Consider the following 17,972-nt stretch of genomic DNA (forward strand, 5'->3'; position numbering starts at 1 on the left):
TGCCAGCCCTCTTACTACCCCCACCCCAATCTATTCTCCACTCAGATGCCAGTGATTGTCTTAAGAAGCAAATCTGTAAGTGTCATCCCTATGGTCAGAATCTCTTCAACAGTTTTCCATAGCACTTGAAAAAAAAACCCACCTCTGGCTGGGCGCAGTGGCTCAAGCCTATAATCCCAGAACTTTGGGAGGCCAAGGCGGGTGGATCACTTGAGGCTAGGAGCTCGACATCAGTCTGGCCAACATGGCGAAACCCTGTCTCTACTAAAAATACAAAAAAAAAATTAGCTGGGCATGATGGCGCACACCTGTAATCTCAACTATTCTGGAGGCTGAGGCATGAGAATCGATTGAACCCAGGAGGCAGAGGTTGCAGCGAGCGGAGATTGTGCCACTGCACTCCACCTTGGGCAACAGAGCGAGACTCTGTCTCAAAAACAAAAACAAAAAACCCACCTCTGTCCTATGTAAGCTATGGTTTATAAAGCCCTGCATGATTTTGGGACTAACCTCCCCAGTCTCATTTACACCACTGTCCCTCGTGGTCACTGTGCCCAGCTGTGTGACCTTCTCTGGGTTTCTCAAACCCTGATGGTTGTACCACAGGACCCTTGTATGTGCTGTTCCCTCTGCCTGGAATGCTATTCCTCGTCTTCAAGGGGCTAATTCCTTCTCCTCCTTCCAATATCAGCCAGCTCAAAGAGAGACCTTCCTGGGCATGCCTTCTCTATGGAAGGTAGGGCCCTCTCTGTAGTCTCTATTCCCGCCCCAGAATCATCCCTATATCTCCAGCTCCCCACCCTCTCCCACAGCATCTGGCCCATAGTCGGTGCCCAACAGATGTTCACTGAGTGAATAAATGACTGAACGGACCTCATGACCACCTGCAGTGACCTCCCGCTGGACACCCAGATTCCATTTCTTGGTTCTTAACTATGAAAATTAGAAGAGTTTTGGGCTGTGCACTTTTTTAGCAAAAACCAAGAGTGGCTCTTGCCTCCCAGCATATTCCACCTCTTTCTGATTTTCTGTTTCATTTGTCAGCACTGATTTCCTTAGGACACCCCTCACATGGTATTGCTTACAGACTCTGACTGTTGTTCTGTATCCACAGAAACAACCTCCCTCGATGGTCAGAGGGGCCTTGCCCTGGGCCAGGGCCTGGGCGGTAATGTGGAAGCCCAGGAGGCAGCTTGGGGACACGCCAGTCCTGGGACCCTGTGGGATGCAGGTGGGGCCGGCCCCACCTTCCCAGCCCAATCCAGCACTTCCTGACAGTGACGAAGCTCTCTCGACTTTGCACCAAGAAGCCCTGATGTGATAGTGCTCGTCTCCCACCCGGCAGATGCATAAACCATTCCCCTCCCCTTTTAATTGCACCAGTAGCCAGTCATTTACTGGCGGCCTCATCAAATCCCTGCTGGGATTGGAGCTGTTGCTCGGTGGGTTGGCTGGGAGATGAAATCAGATGGCCTCGTCCTGGCTCCAGCACAGCCCCCCACCCCCCAATCCCAGGCCCACTCCAGGGAAAAGGGTCCAGCTATCTTCTCTGTGCCCTGTCCTGTTCCCCTGGGACACCACCCATCAGAACCAGGCTGACTCAGAAGTACAGTAGGCTCCCATCCGGAACCCAACCATTCTCACATCCCCCCTGGTGCCACCTGGTCCCGGTGGCTGTCACCTGTCCCCCAAGTCACTGTGGCAGGCTTGTAATTGGTCTCCCTGCTCCTGCCCTGACCCCCACAGTCTCATCTCAGCACAGCAGCCAGACTGTCCAATAGGGAGTGAGTCAGATCGTTCCTGTCCTCAGCCCTACCTTACACGGGCTCCCCACTTCACACCAAGTCAAGAAACACCCTCTGTGGGCCTGTAGGCCCCACTCCATCTGCTTCTTCCATCCTTGTCTCCTGTCCCTGCACCCAACTTCACTCCAGGCACATAGGCCTCTTGCTGCTCCTCCACCCCAGGCCTCAGCCCTGGCTGTTCTCTCTGCTGGGACAGTCTCCCCAGGTGCCAGCCTGCATTGGTCCTCACCTCTGCCAGCCTCCACTCAAATGCCACCTTCTCTTCAGATTGCCACCTGACCCGACCCCAGCTTGTTCTGCTGCATGCTTCCTTTTTCCCATAGCACTTGCTGCCTCCAGCACACTGGATAGCTCACAGGGCGAGCATATCCATGGCTTTCTGGTCCCTCTGCCCCCTGCCAGCATATGAACTCAGGATCTATTTTGTTCCATAGTGTGTTGCAGGCTCCTAGTATACAGAAATGCTCAAGAAATGTTTGATCGAATAAAAGTCTGCCCCCCCAGCATTGCCCCTGCCTCCCGAGCCTCAGCTTCCGGCATCCCGGGGACTCTGCCTCTAAACCCCCGATCAGTGCACACACCTGTGACAGCACTGGGGGTCCCTGGTCATCTCTGGCCACACCCATGCTGCTCCCTGACCTTTGCTCATGCCATTGCCTACCCTGGGAGGCCAGCTCACCCTTCTGAGGCTGAGCTCATCTCTCCCCACCTTCCAGGCCTGCAGTGAGCTCTGCCTCCTCCCTGAAGCCTCCCTGGACTATTGAAGCTCACACCACCGATTGTCTTCCATGGCCCCCAGCCGAAGCAGCCATTTGTTTCAGAGCTGGCTGCTCCCTCCTCCTTCCTTCCACTCCACTCTGCAGCTTGCAGGTGCCAGGCCTAGAGGAGGGTTGAGGGAGGAGCGGGTAAGGGGCAGTGGGGGTGGATGTGGGGTGGATGCGTGCCCCGTCTGCTAATCGGTGAGCACTTCCGGTCCTCAGCTCCTTCCCTTGGCTCACAAGGTCCCAGCACAGTTTTTGGCTCTTCTCCTTCCCTCTGGTCCTCTGCTGGCTCAGTCCCCACCGTCTCTTCTCCCGCCCCACGCTCTCCCCAGTGATCTCTGATGGCTTTGGAGCCATAGCACTGGTGCCTCCACCCCACATCCTTGGGGCTAGCCCGGGCCTCTGTCCTCAACTCCAGAGGCACCAGCCAATGCCTCCTCTGCTGTCTCATGGCACCTCCAACACCTTGTGTCAAAGCCTGGGACTCGGGATCTCCGTGTGTCACATTCTTCCTCCGAGAGAAGCATCTGATCAGACACTGGCACCCAGCAGTCCTCCTCCCTCATACCATGTCTGGTCGGTCACTGAGTCCTGAAGGTTCTCAAACTCCCACCCTTCTAACCCCCCAGCACTGCCTGGCCCAAGCTGCCGTTCCCTGCTTGGAGACTAAGTCCAGAATCTGCAGGCTGCCGGGCTTGGCCCGCCCTCACCCCTCTGGCTCATCTCTCAGAGGACAGACCAAGCTCTCTGGCCTCCAACCTGCAGGTCCCTCTGTGGAAGCACAGCCCTTCTTCCCCTCCCCCACCCCCGCCTTCAGCTGAAGAATCGTCTCCCATCCCAGCCCAGCCAGCACCTCCTCCAGGACACCTGCCCTGGTCGGACACCTCTCCTCTCAGCCAGCCCCTCCCTGGGGATTGTTTAGCCTGCAATTCCTGCATGTTCTGCCCCCCCGCCCCCAAAGCTGTCCACAGGCATCTCAAACTCCACATGAGAAAAAACAGAACCCTAATCTTCCCCCGTGAACTCTCCCTGCGGGTTCACCATGTCTTCTCCACTGCGTCATCCTCAGTCTGTGACCACAATGTAGTGCTTGGCACACTCGGTGCTCTATAAATATTTGTTGAATGAATAAATGTTTGTGAGTGATTTACTGCTCCTTAAATATGTTATTTAGGTCTCCCCATGATAGGAGAACACTTGCTGAAATGCTGATGCACTTTTTTGAGTGGGAGAGAGAGGTGTGGACTCCTAGCTAGAGCCGCAGAGGGGAGAGAGGCATCCAGTGTGAGCAGGTGTCAGGTCACCCATGGCAGTCACAGCGGAAAAAGGTACTGCCCGTAGCAGATGCTGCTGGTGCCTTCCAGCCACATATATCTGCCCAGGAAAGTGACTCTGACGTTTCCTGGACCAGCTCTTAATTGTGCCTGGTGGGAGGCAGTGCATATATGCCCTGGCTCCTGCAGGATGGGGTAACTCTCAGGCATGTATGCACCATTTCCCAGAGCTCCTGGGGGAATTGAGCTGGGGTTATTGGCTTGACATAGCACCCTTTACTGGCTACTGTCCCTTCCCCGTTGAGTCCCCCCCACTCCCCTTTTGGTGTTTTCTGGGATCACCTCTCAATTAACCACTAGTACTTAAATCCTTGTCTCAGCATCTGTTCCTGGAGAAACCAAAACCGAGACATGGCCCCACATGCTCCCAGGCAAATGGCAGGCTCTTACAAAATGTAAGCCCCCTCCCTACTTCCTTTCTCTTCCAGAGTTGATCTTTCATCATTGTCATCCAGCCATGCATGCATTCATTTATGCAAACACTCAGCATGCACTTTCCATGTGTCCAGCCCTGTGCTGCCGCTGAGGACACAGAGGCATAAACAGTTCCTGTCCTCAGGGATCGGATCAGACACTTAATAGGTTAGACTGGTTGCTTTGTCCTGGACACAAGTGGGGCATCCTAGATGAATTTCATAATAAGATGAGCTAACTAACCTTGGCAGAGTGGCCACCCTGTACTGGACACTATTGTAAGCACTGAACATATTATTCCTTTTGACCCTCTCATCAGCCCGAGGAGGAAAAGGAGGTCTACACGAGGGCAAAGCTCCTTTCTGAGGCCACACAGCTACAGCATGGCACCTGGGTTCCAAATCACTGGAATTTGGGGAAAGAAAGTGCAGGTGTTAGCTGCTGAATCAGGACCGTGGGAATAAGCTTGCAAGTGATAAGTATCCTTGCTTCAAATTATGTCCCTTAGACATTCTTCCTCTCCCTCTTAATGATCAGTCACTTTGGGGAAACCAAGTCAACACTGAAGACCTCCAATCCTAGCACCCCCAGTTCTCAGGACCCTCATGCTCCATCCCTGCAGCCCCCTAAAGGCCAGCTGAAAGTTCTCTTCCCCAGAAATTATGCTTTCTAAGTCATTTATGTTACTTGATGATTTTCTAATTTGCCTTCATCGATAATATATAAAATGAGGGTAGTGACCTAAAACTGAACCCAACATGAAGCTGCTAAGAAAAGAAGAAGCCAAAAGTCCTTTGCACTCAGGGCCACACATTTTTCTCCACCTTTCCAGGTAGCATCCAAGAGGGAGCCAGGCCACTTACACAAGGCACAGTGGCTGTAGATTTTTTTAAAGACCAGTTTTTCAGAAGATGCTCATCTACTCTTGACACTACGGTAGCAAACCAATGCCTCCTCATGGTTCAACGAAATGAACATGTCCTCAAAGCACCCTTGCCTGAGACATGGCTCAGGGCATCTATTGTGCTTGGGTAACAGCAGAGGCAAAGAAAACAAGACCCAGATTCCAAAGACCTGGGTCTGGGTCCCACAGCCTTCCCTTGGTGGTGGCCTTGAGCAAGTCATTTGGCCCTTCCGAGTGTGAGTCACCTCAGGGTCAGGTGTGCTGGGAGAGATGGATGATTGGATGACAAGAAGCCAGCCTCTAGCCTCCAAGAGCCAGCATCAGGTGATACCCAAGGAATTCCTGGTTCCCCTCAAGGCCAGCATCTCTCCCACTCAAATGAGTTTGCCACTGCCCACTGCAGACACATGTGTGATTTCAACCACGGGACAGAGCTGGATGCAGCAATGGCAGGAGCCTCACTCTAGTCATCACTGCATCCTGGGGCCTCACATGCAGCATGACACAGAGAATTCAACAAACCTTTGGTAAACAAATTGCAGACGCTCCTCAGCCCTGAAGGTGAATGAGTCCACTTATATCCCCACACCCAGCAAAGACCCCTTGCAGACATCCACTTTAATATTTTCCCATGAACAGCAAAACCAAAACAATCAAAACCAATGACTGGGTTTCATGCCCTCAGTGTGCATGGCCAAGTCAAGTTCTGCAACTCAAGAAGAAGAAATGAAGAAGGAAAATAAGATACAAACTGATTAACTGATAAGGACCATATCTTCTTTATTTTCATCTCTACCCAGTGCATGAGACACAGCGAAAGGACTGAATGAAGGAATGAACAAATGAACAAATGACAGGGCATCAAGTCTTGGAGCCCACTGATGGGCAGAGTGGCCTACAAGACTTGAACCAACCTCACGTCGCCATGACCAACGTCTGCAATAATTGACAAGATCCTCTGGGCAGAGAAAGTTGTGCCCAAGAGAGAGGAAGGCCTTGAAGGGGGTGGGCAGACCAAGAAGGTGATACTGATCAGAAATAGCAAACGTCACAACAGCTACATTTATTAAGAACGATGTATGCCAAGCCCTGGGCTAACTAACTATCTCTATCTCAGTGAATATTCAAAACAACCCTACTGAGTAAGTGGTGGGCTGACTCCCATTTTACAGATCAGGAAGTTGAGGTTAGTCAAGTTAGGAGGCTTTCCCAAGGTCACAAGATTCTAACTAGGTGAGTCTCACTGTGGACCCTGCTGCTGGAGAGAGGAGGAGCAGGGAAAGGGATGGGAAGTTAGAGAATGCCCGGCACTATCAGGTCCCAGAGCCCAGAACCAGGGAGTGGGGCCTTGGTCAGGAGCAAAGGGTTGGCTGACCCTTCAGCAAACTCATGCCAAGGTGAATGTCAACTCACTGTTCCTGCATCACAGCCGATGCTGGGAATCGCAGAACAATGCCATCCTGAGACCAGAGTTCCAGGGGTGCCGGAGCTAGCCCTTGAGCCCAAAGGTGGAGACTTTTAGCCAGGATCACACTCCCCATCCTGCAGAATCTCCTGCCATTATGGGGCCACACCCTCCGAGCACCTGCCTCATGCTAGGTGGCAGGCTGACCCTACACACCCCCCCTCTCCATTCTGCCTGGAGACAGCGAGGAATGAGCCATCATCCCCACTAGCAGATCAGAAAACTGAGGCTTGGACTGCCTTGCTCACCTGCCTCTGAACACTCAGGTTCATATGAAATGTCCAGAACAGGCAAATCCATGGAGGCAGGCGGAAGATCAGTGGCTGCAGGGGATGGTAGGTATGGGTTTCTTTTAGGGGTGAGGAATATGATCTGGAATGAGACGGTGGTGATGGTTGCAAACATTGTGAATATACTGAAGACCTTTTACATTCTATGTTTTTAAATGGTCCAAATGGTGAATTCTACATTGTATGAATTTTACCTCAACAACAAAAAAATCTCTTTTTAAAAAAAAAGCACCCAGGAAGCATATGCCGGGCCTGGATGCGGCCTCTTGAAGACACACGTGTCCCTTTTTCCACCTCAATGTTCAGTCCAGACTCCACATAAGACACAGAACCCCTGGAGGGCAGGATTGAGTTTGGCCTAAACCCTGCAAACATATTAGTGGCCGTGTTGGCAGCAGGGGGCCACGGAGAAGGTGCACTGTCCTCCCCACCTCTTCGCCTGCAACTCCCCCAGTCTTTTGGGTCTAAGTTCCATCACACCTCACCTGTTTCTATTTTGATACAGGTCTCTTTGTGCCACTGGTTTTAGCCAAAGGTCTCAACCTTGATTCATGCGAGCATCACCTGGGGCAGCTTTAAACTCCCGTCTAGGGTGGGCCTGGGTATCAGGTATTTTTAAAGCCCCCAGGTGTTGTCAACAAGCAACCAGGGCTCAAGTGTCCAACTAGAGGCAGGAGTCCGAGGGCAGGGCTATGTTGAATTCACCTTTGTAGTTCCAGAACTTGCCATGGCACAACCTTGGTAAATGTTCAATAAATCAATAAGTAAAGGTTTGTTGAGTAAATTAAAATATGTATAAACTTGCAAGCTTTGATTATTTGCTGGACACAAATAAATAAACAGAAGACTGAAACAATTCCTTTTACTGCATTGGGAGAGGAAAATTCAGTACTTAAAAAAGATATGATCACTTTTTTTCTTTTTTTTTTTTTTGAGATGGAGTCTCACTCTGTCGCCCAGGCTGGAGTGCAGTGGTGCGATCTTGGCTCACCGCGACCTCCACCTCCAGGGTTCAAGCGATTCTCCTGCCTCAGACTCCCGAGTAGCTGAGATTACAGGTGTGCACCACCACAACCGGCTAAAGATCACTTTTTTAAAAGGCCAGTGATTACAGGTGTGCACCAACACAACTGGCTAAAGATCACTTTTTTAAAAGTCCAGCCATTCTAGAGGCTCTTACGGATCTCAAACTCATCTGGAGATAGGAGTCATGTTCATACCTGCATTGTGCTTTGTACAGAGGGGAATGCAAGGCAGAGTCAGCCCATTTTATGAATGAGGAAGCTGAGGCCAGTTTGGATAAGAACTTTACTCAAGCAAGGGTTATACAGTGACGAGAGATCTCATTTACTGTGAGTGGACAATGTTCCAGGGCTGGGCCAGGACCTCGCATGTGTGATTTGCACAACCCACTTTGGAGGACGGGAAAACTGAAGCTCAGAGAGGCTGAGTGACCAGCACACATCTGGAAAGAGCAAGAGCCTGGCCTGGCCTCCAGGCCCTCCTGCTTGCAGACCAGGCAAGTGGATCACAGGGTAGCAAAAGACGAGCATTCAACACCCCGAGGCCGGAATCAATGGCAACAGTGAGCTGGGCATGAACACAGCCCTTGAAGCAGGAGACATTCAAAGTGACATGGCCCGTGTTTGATGCCCACAGTCCCTCGTCACAGGCTCACACTGCGTCCAGCCAAGGGCTAGGGCAGCGGCATTCATGAGGTTTCATAAGGAGCCTGTCGCCTGCAGGGAAGGCGGGTCACGGGGACTGGCTTCACTTGCTGTGCCTGTCGCTCAGCTTTGCGACCCACCAGGCCTGGACCTCCTCTTTTGTTAGTCGGAAACTCATCACAACTTGGAGGAAACTCTGGTTTGCACCAGCAGCAGGGAATTCATTTGATGATGATGAAGCCTAGTTAAACCTTGGATTCTTGCGAATGTCCCAGAGCCTGGGTCCTTCTGATGGCAGCAGCTAAAACACACTGATGGTGGAGGTGGGGAAACTGAGCCACCGCCTTCCTTGCACCACCTGAGTCTGCTTCATCATCCCATTCATGAGATCACAGATATCAGGAGGACCAAGGAGAGGGGGCGCCAAGTGACATCTGGTGGTTTCTTCCACGCAGTCATTCCTCAAAACCTAGCAGCATTCTTGCTTCCGCTCTCCCCCTACAGCCACAGCCATCACTGAGTGAGTCCCTGCTGCAGAATGATCTTAACTTAGACCAGGGCGTGACACCTCCTCTTGCCTCCACCCCGGGTCCAGCCCACCACCACCATCTCTCCCTGCACCGTCACTCACCTGGCCCATGGCAACAGCCTCCTCACTGGGCTCCCAGCCTCCACTCTTCCCCTTCCTTCCACTCTCCAGAGTCAGTCTTTGTAAAGTGCACGTGAGGGCATGCCACACCCCCTACTCAAAACCCGCTGGCTTCTGGCTGCACTTCAGATAAAATCCAAACTCCTTCTCTAGCCTCCACGGCCCTGTGCGGTCCGGGCACTGCCTCCCTGTGGGCTCACCTCCTGCAGTCTTCCCTCGTAGCAGGCAGCAGCCACGCTGGCTCTTCACACAGCCAGAGTGCTTCTCCACACGAGGACCTTGCACATGCTGTTTCCTCTGATGAGAAAGCTCTTCCCCCAGATCTTCCTCCACCAGCTATTCCCTTTCGGTCAGCTCTCAGCTTAAATGGCATCTCAGGTCCACATAACCTAGGCAGCCCCCCAGTTACTCCTATCAAATCGTATGATTTTCTCTATCTCTGTAGCATGTTATCTTCCATTTTTCCTGTGATAGTTTTGGTTTGCTTATTTCCTATACCACCATCCCATGCCCCCTCCCGCGCACACACAGAGCAATCAATCTACAAGCTCTGTGACTGCAGGGCCCTTCTGTTCTGTCCACCACTAGATTCCCAGCACCTAGTACCTAGTGCCTGGCATATAGTAGATATTCAAAAATATCTGTAAGGTAAGTGAATTAGTAGCTACGGAGGACTCATGACATGCCAGGCACGTGCTAAATATCTGGGGCTATCACTGAGGACCCAGCAGACACTGGACAACTGTGTACGACTAACAAAGGATCAAGCATTGGTCAAGTCATTAATTACATATTTAAAAGGTGGAATAACTGCTACAAAAGAAAATGAAAAATTCAAAGTGAGTGCATGTATGTGTGTGTGTGCATGTATGTGTGTACATGTGCGTGCGTGTGCATGTACGCGTGTGCATGTATGTGTGTGCATGTGCACGTATGTGTGTGTGTGCGCATGTATGTGTGTGTGCATGTGGATGCAGGGCGGTATGGTTTCCAAATGTAAGCAACTCCTCTGACACTGCTCCATCAGGGGTGGTGTCTAATTCCCCACTGTTTCAATATGAGGCAGCCCTGGTCCCTTGATTCTAAAAAACAGAATGCAGTGGAAGTTGATGCTGGGTGACTTCTTCAACTGCAACATCAAAAGGGATACAGCTCCCATCAGCCTCTCAACCTTCAAATTCAGCCACCATGTTGTAAGGAAGCCCAGTTCACAAGGCGGCATCACATGGAGTGTTAGAGTGAACAGCTCCATCTGAGGACCCAATCTACAGCCAATATTGACCACAAGACATGGGAGAGGAAGCCTTCAAGGTGGCCCCAGCCCTGGCTGACAGACTATCGGTGCATGAAAGACCCCAAGCAGGGACCTCCAGGTGGAGCCAGTCAACTCCTGTAGCAGCAAGAGAAAGAAAATATGTTGGTGTTGTAGCTTTTGGAGTAGTTCGTTCTGCAGCCGTAAATGACCAGAACAGGGACTGGTGTGACATTTGTGGAAGTCAGGGAAGGTCTTCCTGAAGAAAGAAAGGAAATCTGAGCTGAGATCAGCATGAGTCAGGTTCTACTTCGAAGGGGAGGCTGGTGGACAGAAGGACTATACGTGCAAAGGCTCCAAGACAGGAAGGAGTGAGGCCCAGGGAAGGAAAGGAAAGGGGGGTCCCTGAAGCTGCCTCTCAGCACTGGAGGGAAGAGTTAGGCAGGGGCCACACTAGGAAGTAATCAGATAGCCTTGAATAACCTCCCTTCCTCTCCAGCTGGGCAGCCTAGAATAAGTAACTCACCCTCTCTGAACCTCTGAGCTCCGCATAAAAATTGGCAATAATACCACCTATTACAAAGAAGGGTTTGAGGATTAAATGAGATGAGGAGAGCAGAGCTTCTCTCCAACAGTACTGGAAACTAAGTATTGGCTTCTTTCTAGTGTCCTGGGTGGGTAAAAAGGAAGCATCTTAGAACTTCCACAGTCCCATTTGTCTCTTTCTCTGTTGAAACTTGGCCTTTGGCACATAGGAGAAGAACCAGGTGACCCTATTCCTGGCTCCACCACTGTTGTGTGACCTTTGAGGAGTCACTTAACCTCCTTCTGATCTTTCCAAGAACAAAATAAATGCCCCAATAAAATCTCTATCAGTGCTTTGAACTCCTTCAAGACAGGCACTATGGAAATGCAGGCTCACGCCTCTGTTCTGCCACAGCTATTTTTGGCCCCGTCAGCCTTGGAAGCAGGTCTCACAGAGGGCGTGTGTGTGCTTTGCTTGAGGGCTGGTACACATCTCCTTCCATGGCCTCCGCCATCTGAGTCACAGGCGGGGACAGGCAGGCCATGGCTGACATTTACAAAGCAAGCCAGGTCCTGGGCTCTGGTGGCTGCTGAAGGCTTTTTGTTCAGGCCACAAGCAGGCCTCTAGCTCTGCCAGGGTTCATGCCCACCCATGCCTTCCAGAAATACCTTCACCAGGGACACTCCGTTGACACTGAGGATCACATGCCTGGCAAGGGCTGCCCAGGAAGAGACACAGATGGGACTCTCTGAAAACCTTTTCTTTCCTGTTGAAGATGCAGGGGAGTCTACACCTCCTTCGAGAGCCCATCTCATCCTCAGAGTGTCTAATCTGATGCTCCTATCTCAGCAGAGATATGCTGGAACCCTGCAGAAGCAACTCCCAATCTGAAGGTTAGTGACGTACTCTCATTTCTACTGCTTGCATTAGAATTATTTATGAGCTGCCATTTATTGCGTGTTAACTGGGTTCCAGGCTCTGTGCTGTGTTAGTTGTAGGGCATCGAATCCTTCCAACCACCCATGTGCAGCAGGTAGGGTTGTTAACTCCATTCTACACATTTGGAAATTGGGGCTCCAAGCAGTTAAGGATTCCTTGCCCAAATCACTTAGCTAATGAACAAGGGTTGGACCTCAGGTCTAGAGGGCAGGAAGCCAGGCTCTGAGCCACTGCGCTACATAATACCACCTTTTGAGCACAAAGTTTCTGCCCAGGATGGCCTGGATAATTTCTAATCTTCATGACAATTCCTCTGCAGGTAGGAATCCTATGAGAAAACTGAGGCTCTGAGAGGTTGTGACATGGCCAGAGTCTGAGCTAGGAGTGAAAGGGCTGGGGCTGGCCCCAAAGCCCCTTGCTGAGATTGTCATTCTGTAGGGCACAGGTTCTCAAAGTGTGCTCCTACGACCAACAGCGTCAGCATCACCTGAGAAGGGAATTGAAAAGGAGGTCCTCGGGCCCCACCCCAGACCTACCGAGTCAGGAATTCTGGGGATGAGCTCCAGTGATCTGTGACTAAACAAGCTCTCCAGGCGCTTCCGATACAAGCTCAAGTTGGAGAACCCCTGGTCAAGTGCCCAGACTCAAAGTGAGGGTTGTGGGCAGAGCCTGAAAAACCCAAGGGCAGAAAGTGGAGATGCTGCTTGAGAACCTTCCGCTTCACCAGATCCCTTTCCTGCTCTTTCTCCAGTGGCAGGCAGGGCGCAGGGTAGGGCTGCTGGGAGCAGGGCACAGATCTGGGCCTGCCACAGAGGAATAGGAGGCCAAGCTGCCCTCTCCAGCAATGAAGTGGGGGAGGGAAGTCAGGACTCTCAAAAGATTCATGGTGGCTGGGCACGGTGGCTCACACCTGTAATCCCAGCACTTTGGGAGGCTGAGGTGGGCAGATCACCTGAGGTCAGGAGTTTGAGACCAGCCTGACCAACATGGTGAAATCCTCTCTAATAAAAATACAAAACTTAGCCACGTGTGGCGGCTCATGCCTGTAATCCCAGCTACTCGGGAAGCTGAGGCAGAAGAATCACTTGAACTCAGGAGGCAGAGATTGCAGTGAGCCGAGATCACAGCACCGCACTTCAGCCTGGGCGACAAAGAGAGACTCCGTCTCAAAAAAAAAGAAAAAAAATTCATAGTAAATTAGAACAAAACAAACACCCCCAAAATAAAGATAACAAAAAACAATTTGAAAAACCACTCTTGCCTTTGCCAGAAGAAGGGTGGCCCAGCAGTGGGGTGACCCGCTGTTCCAGTTTGTCCAGGACTGAGGGGTTTCCTGGGGCACAGGACCTTCGGGGCTAAAACCTAGAGAGGCCCGGGCCAGCCAGGACAAGCGGGTCACCCTGAGGGGCAGGGCAGCAGCAGGTGCTGTCTGGATGAAGAGCAATGCCTGCCTGGCCATGTGAAGGACGCCCTGCAAACGTTCCTGGTCATTACTTCTAGGGGGCACTTCACAGGCCTGCACGAATAGGTGTTTCTCTCTCCCCTCTTTCTCCCTTTATGCCAGACACACACACCAAAGCTCAACACACCTGTGGATCAATGTCACTTCAGCAGGGAGCCTCCTGCCTGATCCTTGGGCTGCTAATTCTGGCTGTCTGCTTTGGCCACTCCCTCTCCTTCGTGGCCTGTGCAGCCTCCCTCTGCTCCCACCTGTCCCATTCTACCTGGGAATTCTCCCACGTCTTCCCAAATCCGTCCTCCCTGCCCCTTTTGTAATTACGTATCCCCTTCCCAATAGCACCTCTTTATCCCCCAAGTCTGGCTTGCACTCACAGGCTGCTCTTCATCAGAACGCTTTCCACAGGACGATTACAGCAATGGATACCTGTCTAGTTTTCAAAAGTACTTCTCACTTTCAGGAACCCTCAACTCAACCCCATGGGGTGGGTGTGGCCCATGACCTATTTTATAGAGGAAGAAATTGAGGCTTAGGTTAACCGGCTCTCTTAAAATCACGAAGAGGAAAGAGCAGGGCTAGCACGCCAACATAGGCTAAAGAAAGGCTCATGGAATCGGCCTCTTATGCCAAGTCCTTGGCCTTTCATGACCTGGGCCCTGCTGATGTGGATAAGTCCCTGTGTGACTCTGTATCCCTCAGGATGCCCAACGCAGGGTTGGACCTAGAACAGGTGCCTGGCAAATGCTCGCCAGGTGAATGAGAGGCCCTTGTGAGTGGCAAGAATGCAAAGGACATCAGATGAGCAAATGGGACAAGGACTGGCACATGCCTTGAGCCAGTGAATCCAGAGAGATGGCAGGAAGGGACACTCCAGTGAACACCTTCTGCAAATGACAGTCCACTGGACTGTGAACTCCATGAGGGCAGGAGCTGTCTGCTGCTCACTGCTGGTTCCCGGGCCCTGGCACCATGCCCCACATTTGGAGCTCAGTGTGCACCTGTTGAGTGAGAGCTGAGGCTCCACAGCATTGAAGCCCTGTGCCCTCTGGGAGACATGAATTCCTTCAGGGTTATATAGCAGGCACTTGTTTTTTTTGTTTGTTTTGTTGTTTTTTGCTGTTGTTGTTGTTTTTGAGGCAGAGTTACGCTCTTATTGCCCAGGCTGGAGTGCAATGGTGCAATCTTGGCTCACTGCAACCTCCGCCTCCGTATTTTATGATTGGCAGAAGTTGTGGATGTGGCCGTAGCTCTGACATTTATTGGGCACTACTTGTGTGCAGGGTTCTGGGCTGAGCTCAAGGAGGACCAAGAGAATGAATAAATCACATTCTCCACCACTGGTCTAATCCACCTTCCATGCCGGAGGCACTCCATGGCTATGATAGACATTCCCTGCCCTCCTGGCCTGGTAGCCATGTTCTTATTTTTGGGTTTTAGCCCTTCTATTCGGATTTTCCTTTGGGAAACCACCTCTCCCTGAGCCTCTATCCACACATCCCAACTCCAGGGGTGGTCACATGGCCCGGGCCTGACCAACCAGCATACTCTATCCCATAAGCCACCATGATTGGTCCACAGGTGGGCACATGACCCAAGCTAGTCCAGCAAAAGTCAGCCTCAGGACTTCCCTCGGACTACTGGGAAACAGAAGGTCTCTTCCTAGGGATATTACTGCCTGTAAGAATGATGGAATGCTGGAGCCTGGAGCTACAGGAACTGAGCCAGCCTGAGAGAAAAGGCAACCCAGGAGAAATCAGGAGAGAGCGACAGAGCCAGAGACAGAAATCCAATACCGTCATCATTTGAGACCATGGATTCAGCAGATCTGCTGCCTGGATATCCTGATACGTGAGCCCACAAGCTAACATCTTTCTCCCTAGTTTTTGTATTGCTTAAACCACTTCAAGATGTGTTTTTGCTACTTGAAACAGAAAAAGTCCTGCCATACAGAGCTCTCCTCTCTTACTCTCCTCTCCCAAGAAGCACCTTCAGTCCCAAAACTCAACATGAGTTCTCTCTGTACTCAACCAAGCACTCTCCTCTAGCCTCCTCCCATCTCCGTAGCCCCCAGCCTGGTTTCAGGCCCTCTTGGATGGTCTGGGGTCTGAATGATCTCAAGAGACCCCCACCTGACTCCAGTCTGCCAGCTCAACCCCAATCCACTCCAATCCAACCCACACTGTCAAAACAGTTGATCTTTCTGAAACAGACAATATAGGCTCATGTCACTTCCCCACTTAACACCTTCGTAGGCTCATCACTGCCCAGAGCAGTTTCCTAAAGCACTGGGTCCATGTCCCTGCAGTTATGAGAGCTGATTTTAGATGGTATATGGACCCAGCACTCAAACACATTGAAACCTGTAATAAGAAACTTAAGCTCCTTTTGATTCACTTACAAACTTTCCAATTACTTTATAGAGAAGGTCTCAGCACTGTGCCACTATGGCTTTCACATCTCTCTACCGCTTACTTCTCTCCCTTTTTAACAAATAGAGAGAAAGTCTCAAGCTCAGAATCTTCCAGAGAAAGCTGGAATTTTAAAAGCTTGGTTTGCTTCCACTGCATTTATTATTATGGTCACCTTCCATTTATGCAAGTGGAACTAGTTTCTCATTTAGAGTAGTTTTGTAAAGTTAAGGAGATTAATTTGTATACACACAAAATGAGTTTATTTAAAGAAAAAAATAAGGCAAATAAGAGATGGTACTTGGATATGCGTGAATGTAGATCATTGTTTGGTAAACAATGACCCATAGGATGAAATGCGATCTGCTCAGCCAGGCACACGAGGCCCTTCTAGGTCCTCCTCCTTGGCCACCCTTTCAAGCCACTGAAGGGCTTGTGACTCTCAAGAGGAGTCTCACAGAGCCATACCTCCAAGCCTTTGTCCATGCGCTTCCTTCTGCCTGGATGCCCTTTTCCCCCAACCTGATTAGCAACCTGGAACAATCCCATTCATTCTTTTTTTTTGAGACGGAGTCTCACTCTGTGGCCCAGGCTGGAGTGCAGTGGCGCAATCTTGGTTCACTGCAACCTCCGCCTCCCGGGTTCAAGCAATTCTCCTGCCTCAGCCTCCGGAGCAGCTGGGATTACAGGCGCCTGCCACCAACGCCTGGCTAATTTTTATATTTTTAGTAGAGACGGGGTTTCACCATGTTGGCCAGGCTGGTCTCGAACTCCTGACCTCATGATCCACCCACCTCAGCCTCCCAAAGTGCTGGGATTACAGGCATGAGCCACTGTGCCCGACCAATCCCATTTATTCTTAAAGACCCCTGTTACTATTTACTGGGGCTACTGTTTTGCTTAACTATTCAGGTATTTCCAGTGTACCTGGCAAACCATTTCTGTGTTCTCTCAGGCCACTCTTTGTGGGTTGCTGACAGGATGGCCTTCCCTGGGAGGGCTGAGATTCCAGAGGGCCAGGACGGTCCTTCTCCTCTGTCTGACACAGATGCTCAGTGAGCACAAGAAGACCTGAAGGGATGCTAGCTGGGGGATGTGGATCATTAAATACAAACCGCTGGGAGACTACGTGCCGTGGGGCCCAAAATGTGGGAGAGTGAGGAATTCTAAAGGAAGGGAGAGGAGTGATCTCCAAGAGTAGGTGCAGGCCCAGGGATTCTTTCAGGAGAGAGGAGGCCAGTGAGCATCCCGGGATAGAAGGATTTGGCAGAGGCCTGGAGCAGAGGGCCTGGCAGGCCTAGGTTCTCAACTGTAACTTGCATTTGAATCACCTCAGAACCTGTAATTGTGACGATTCCCAAGTCTCACCCCAAAAACTCTGGCTCAGTGGGTTTGAAGTGGGCCCAAGAAGACGCATTTTAAAACAAATGCTTTGGGTTATGCTGAAGCAGGTCATTTGAGGGCCAGGCTTTGAGAAGGAATGGGCCACAGGGTGTCAGGGAAGGATGGAGATATATAGAGGCCTCACAGTCAAAATGCAGAAATTCACACAAATTGCAAAGATCCTCCAGAACATTGCATCACTGACTGGGGACCAAGAGGCTGGAAACGCAGCCTACCAGAGAACAAGCTTTGTGCCAAGGTTATTGAAAATACATCCCAAATAATTCCATGGAGATGTGTTTAATGAGGTAGATACCGACATGATCACGGGCATCCTATAGGTGGGAACTTGAATGAACCACGTGAAATACAGAACCTCCTTTGGAGAGACCTTATCAAGTAGCAATTGTAAACAGGGAACTTTACCATGTAGAGGTCAGGGCTGAGGCCATTTCTGGCTAAAGAAACGCTCCTTTGTTTGAACGACGGCGCAATCAAATTGTTCAGAGATGAAATCGTCCAAGGCAAACAAGTCACAGAGAGGTTTTAGCAGAATTTGGTGCACATAGCTGAATGGCATCTTGAAACTCTGCTCCCAGAGCACTGACTTTGGTTCTACCCTAACTGCCTCCTTAAATGTAAATTATAATAGAGAAATAGAACTGTGTGTTGGGGGAGGGGGGCTATTTAAGACCAGTCCCCAGCAGCTGCCCCCT

The 17,972-nt window shown here is 50.9% G+C and overlaps 1 protein-coding gene across 3 annotated transcripts in view; it reads right to left on the reverse strand.

Annotated features, from left to right (window-relative positions):
- Positions 1-17,972, reverse strand: part of PRIMA1 (proline rich membrane anchor 1) — a 70,697-nt gene that overhangs the window by 42,620 nt on the left and 10,105 nt on the right. The window lies entirely within an intron of this gene.

The sequence above is a fragment of the Homo sapiens genome, chromosome 14 (genome assembly GCF_000001405.40).
Source record: "Homo sapiens chromosome 14, GRCh38.p14 Primary Assembly".
NCBI classification, from domain to species: Eukaryota; Metazoa; Chordata; class Mammalia; order Primates; family Hominidae; genus Homo; species Homo sapiens.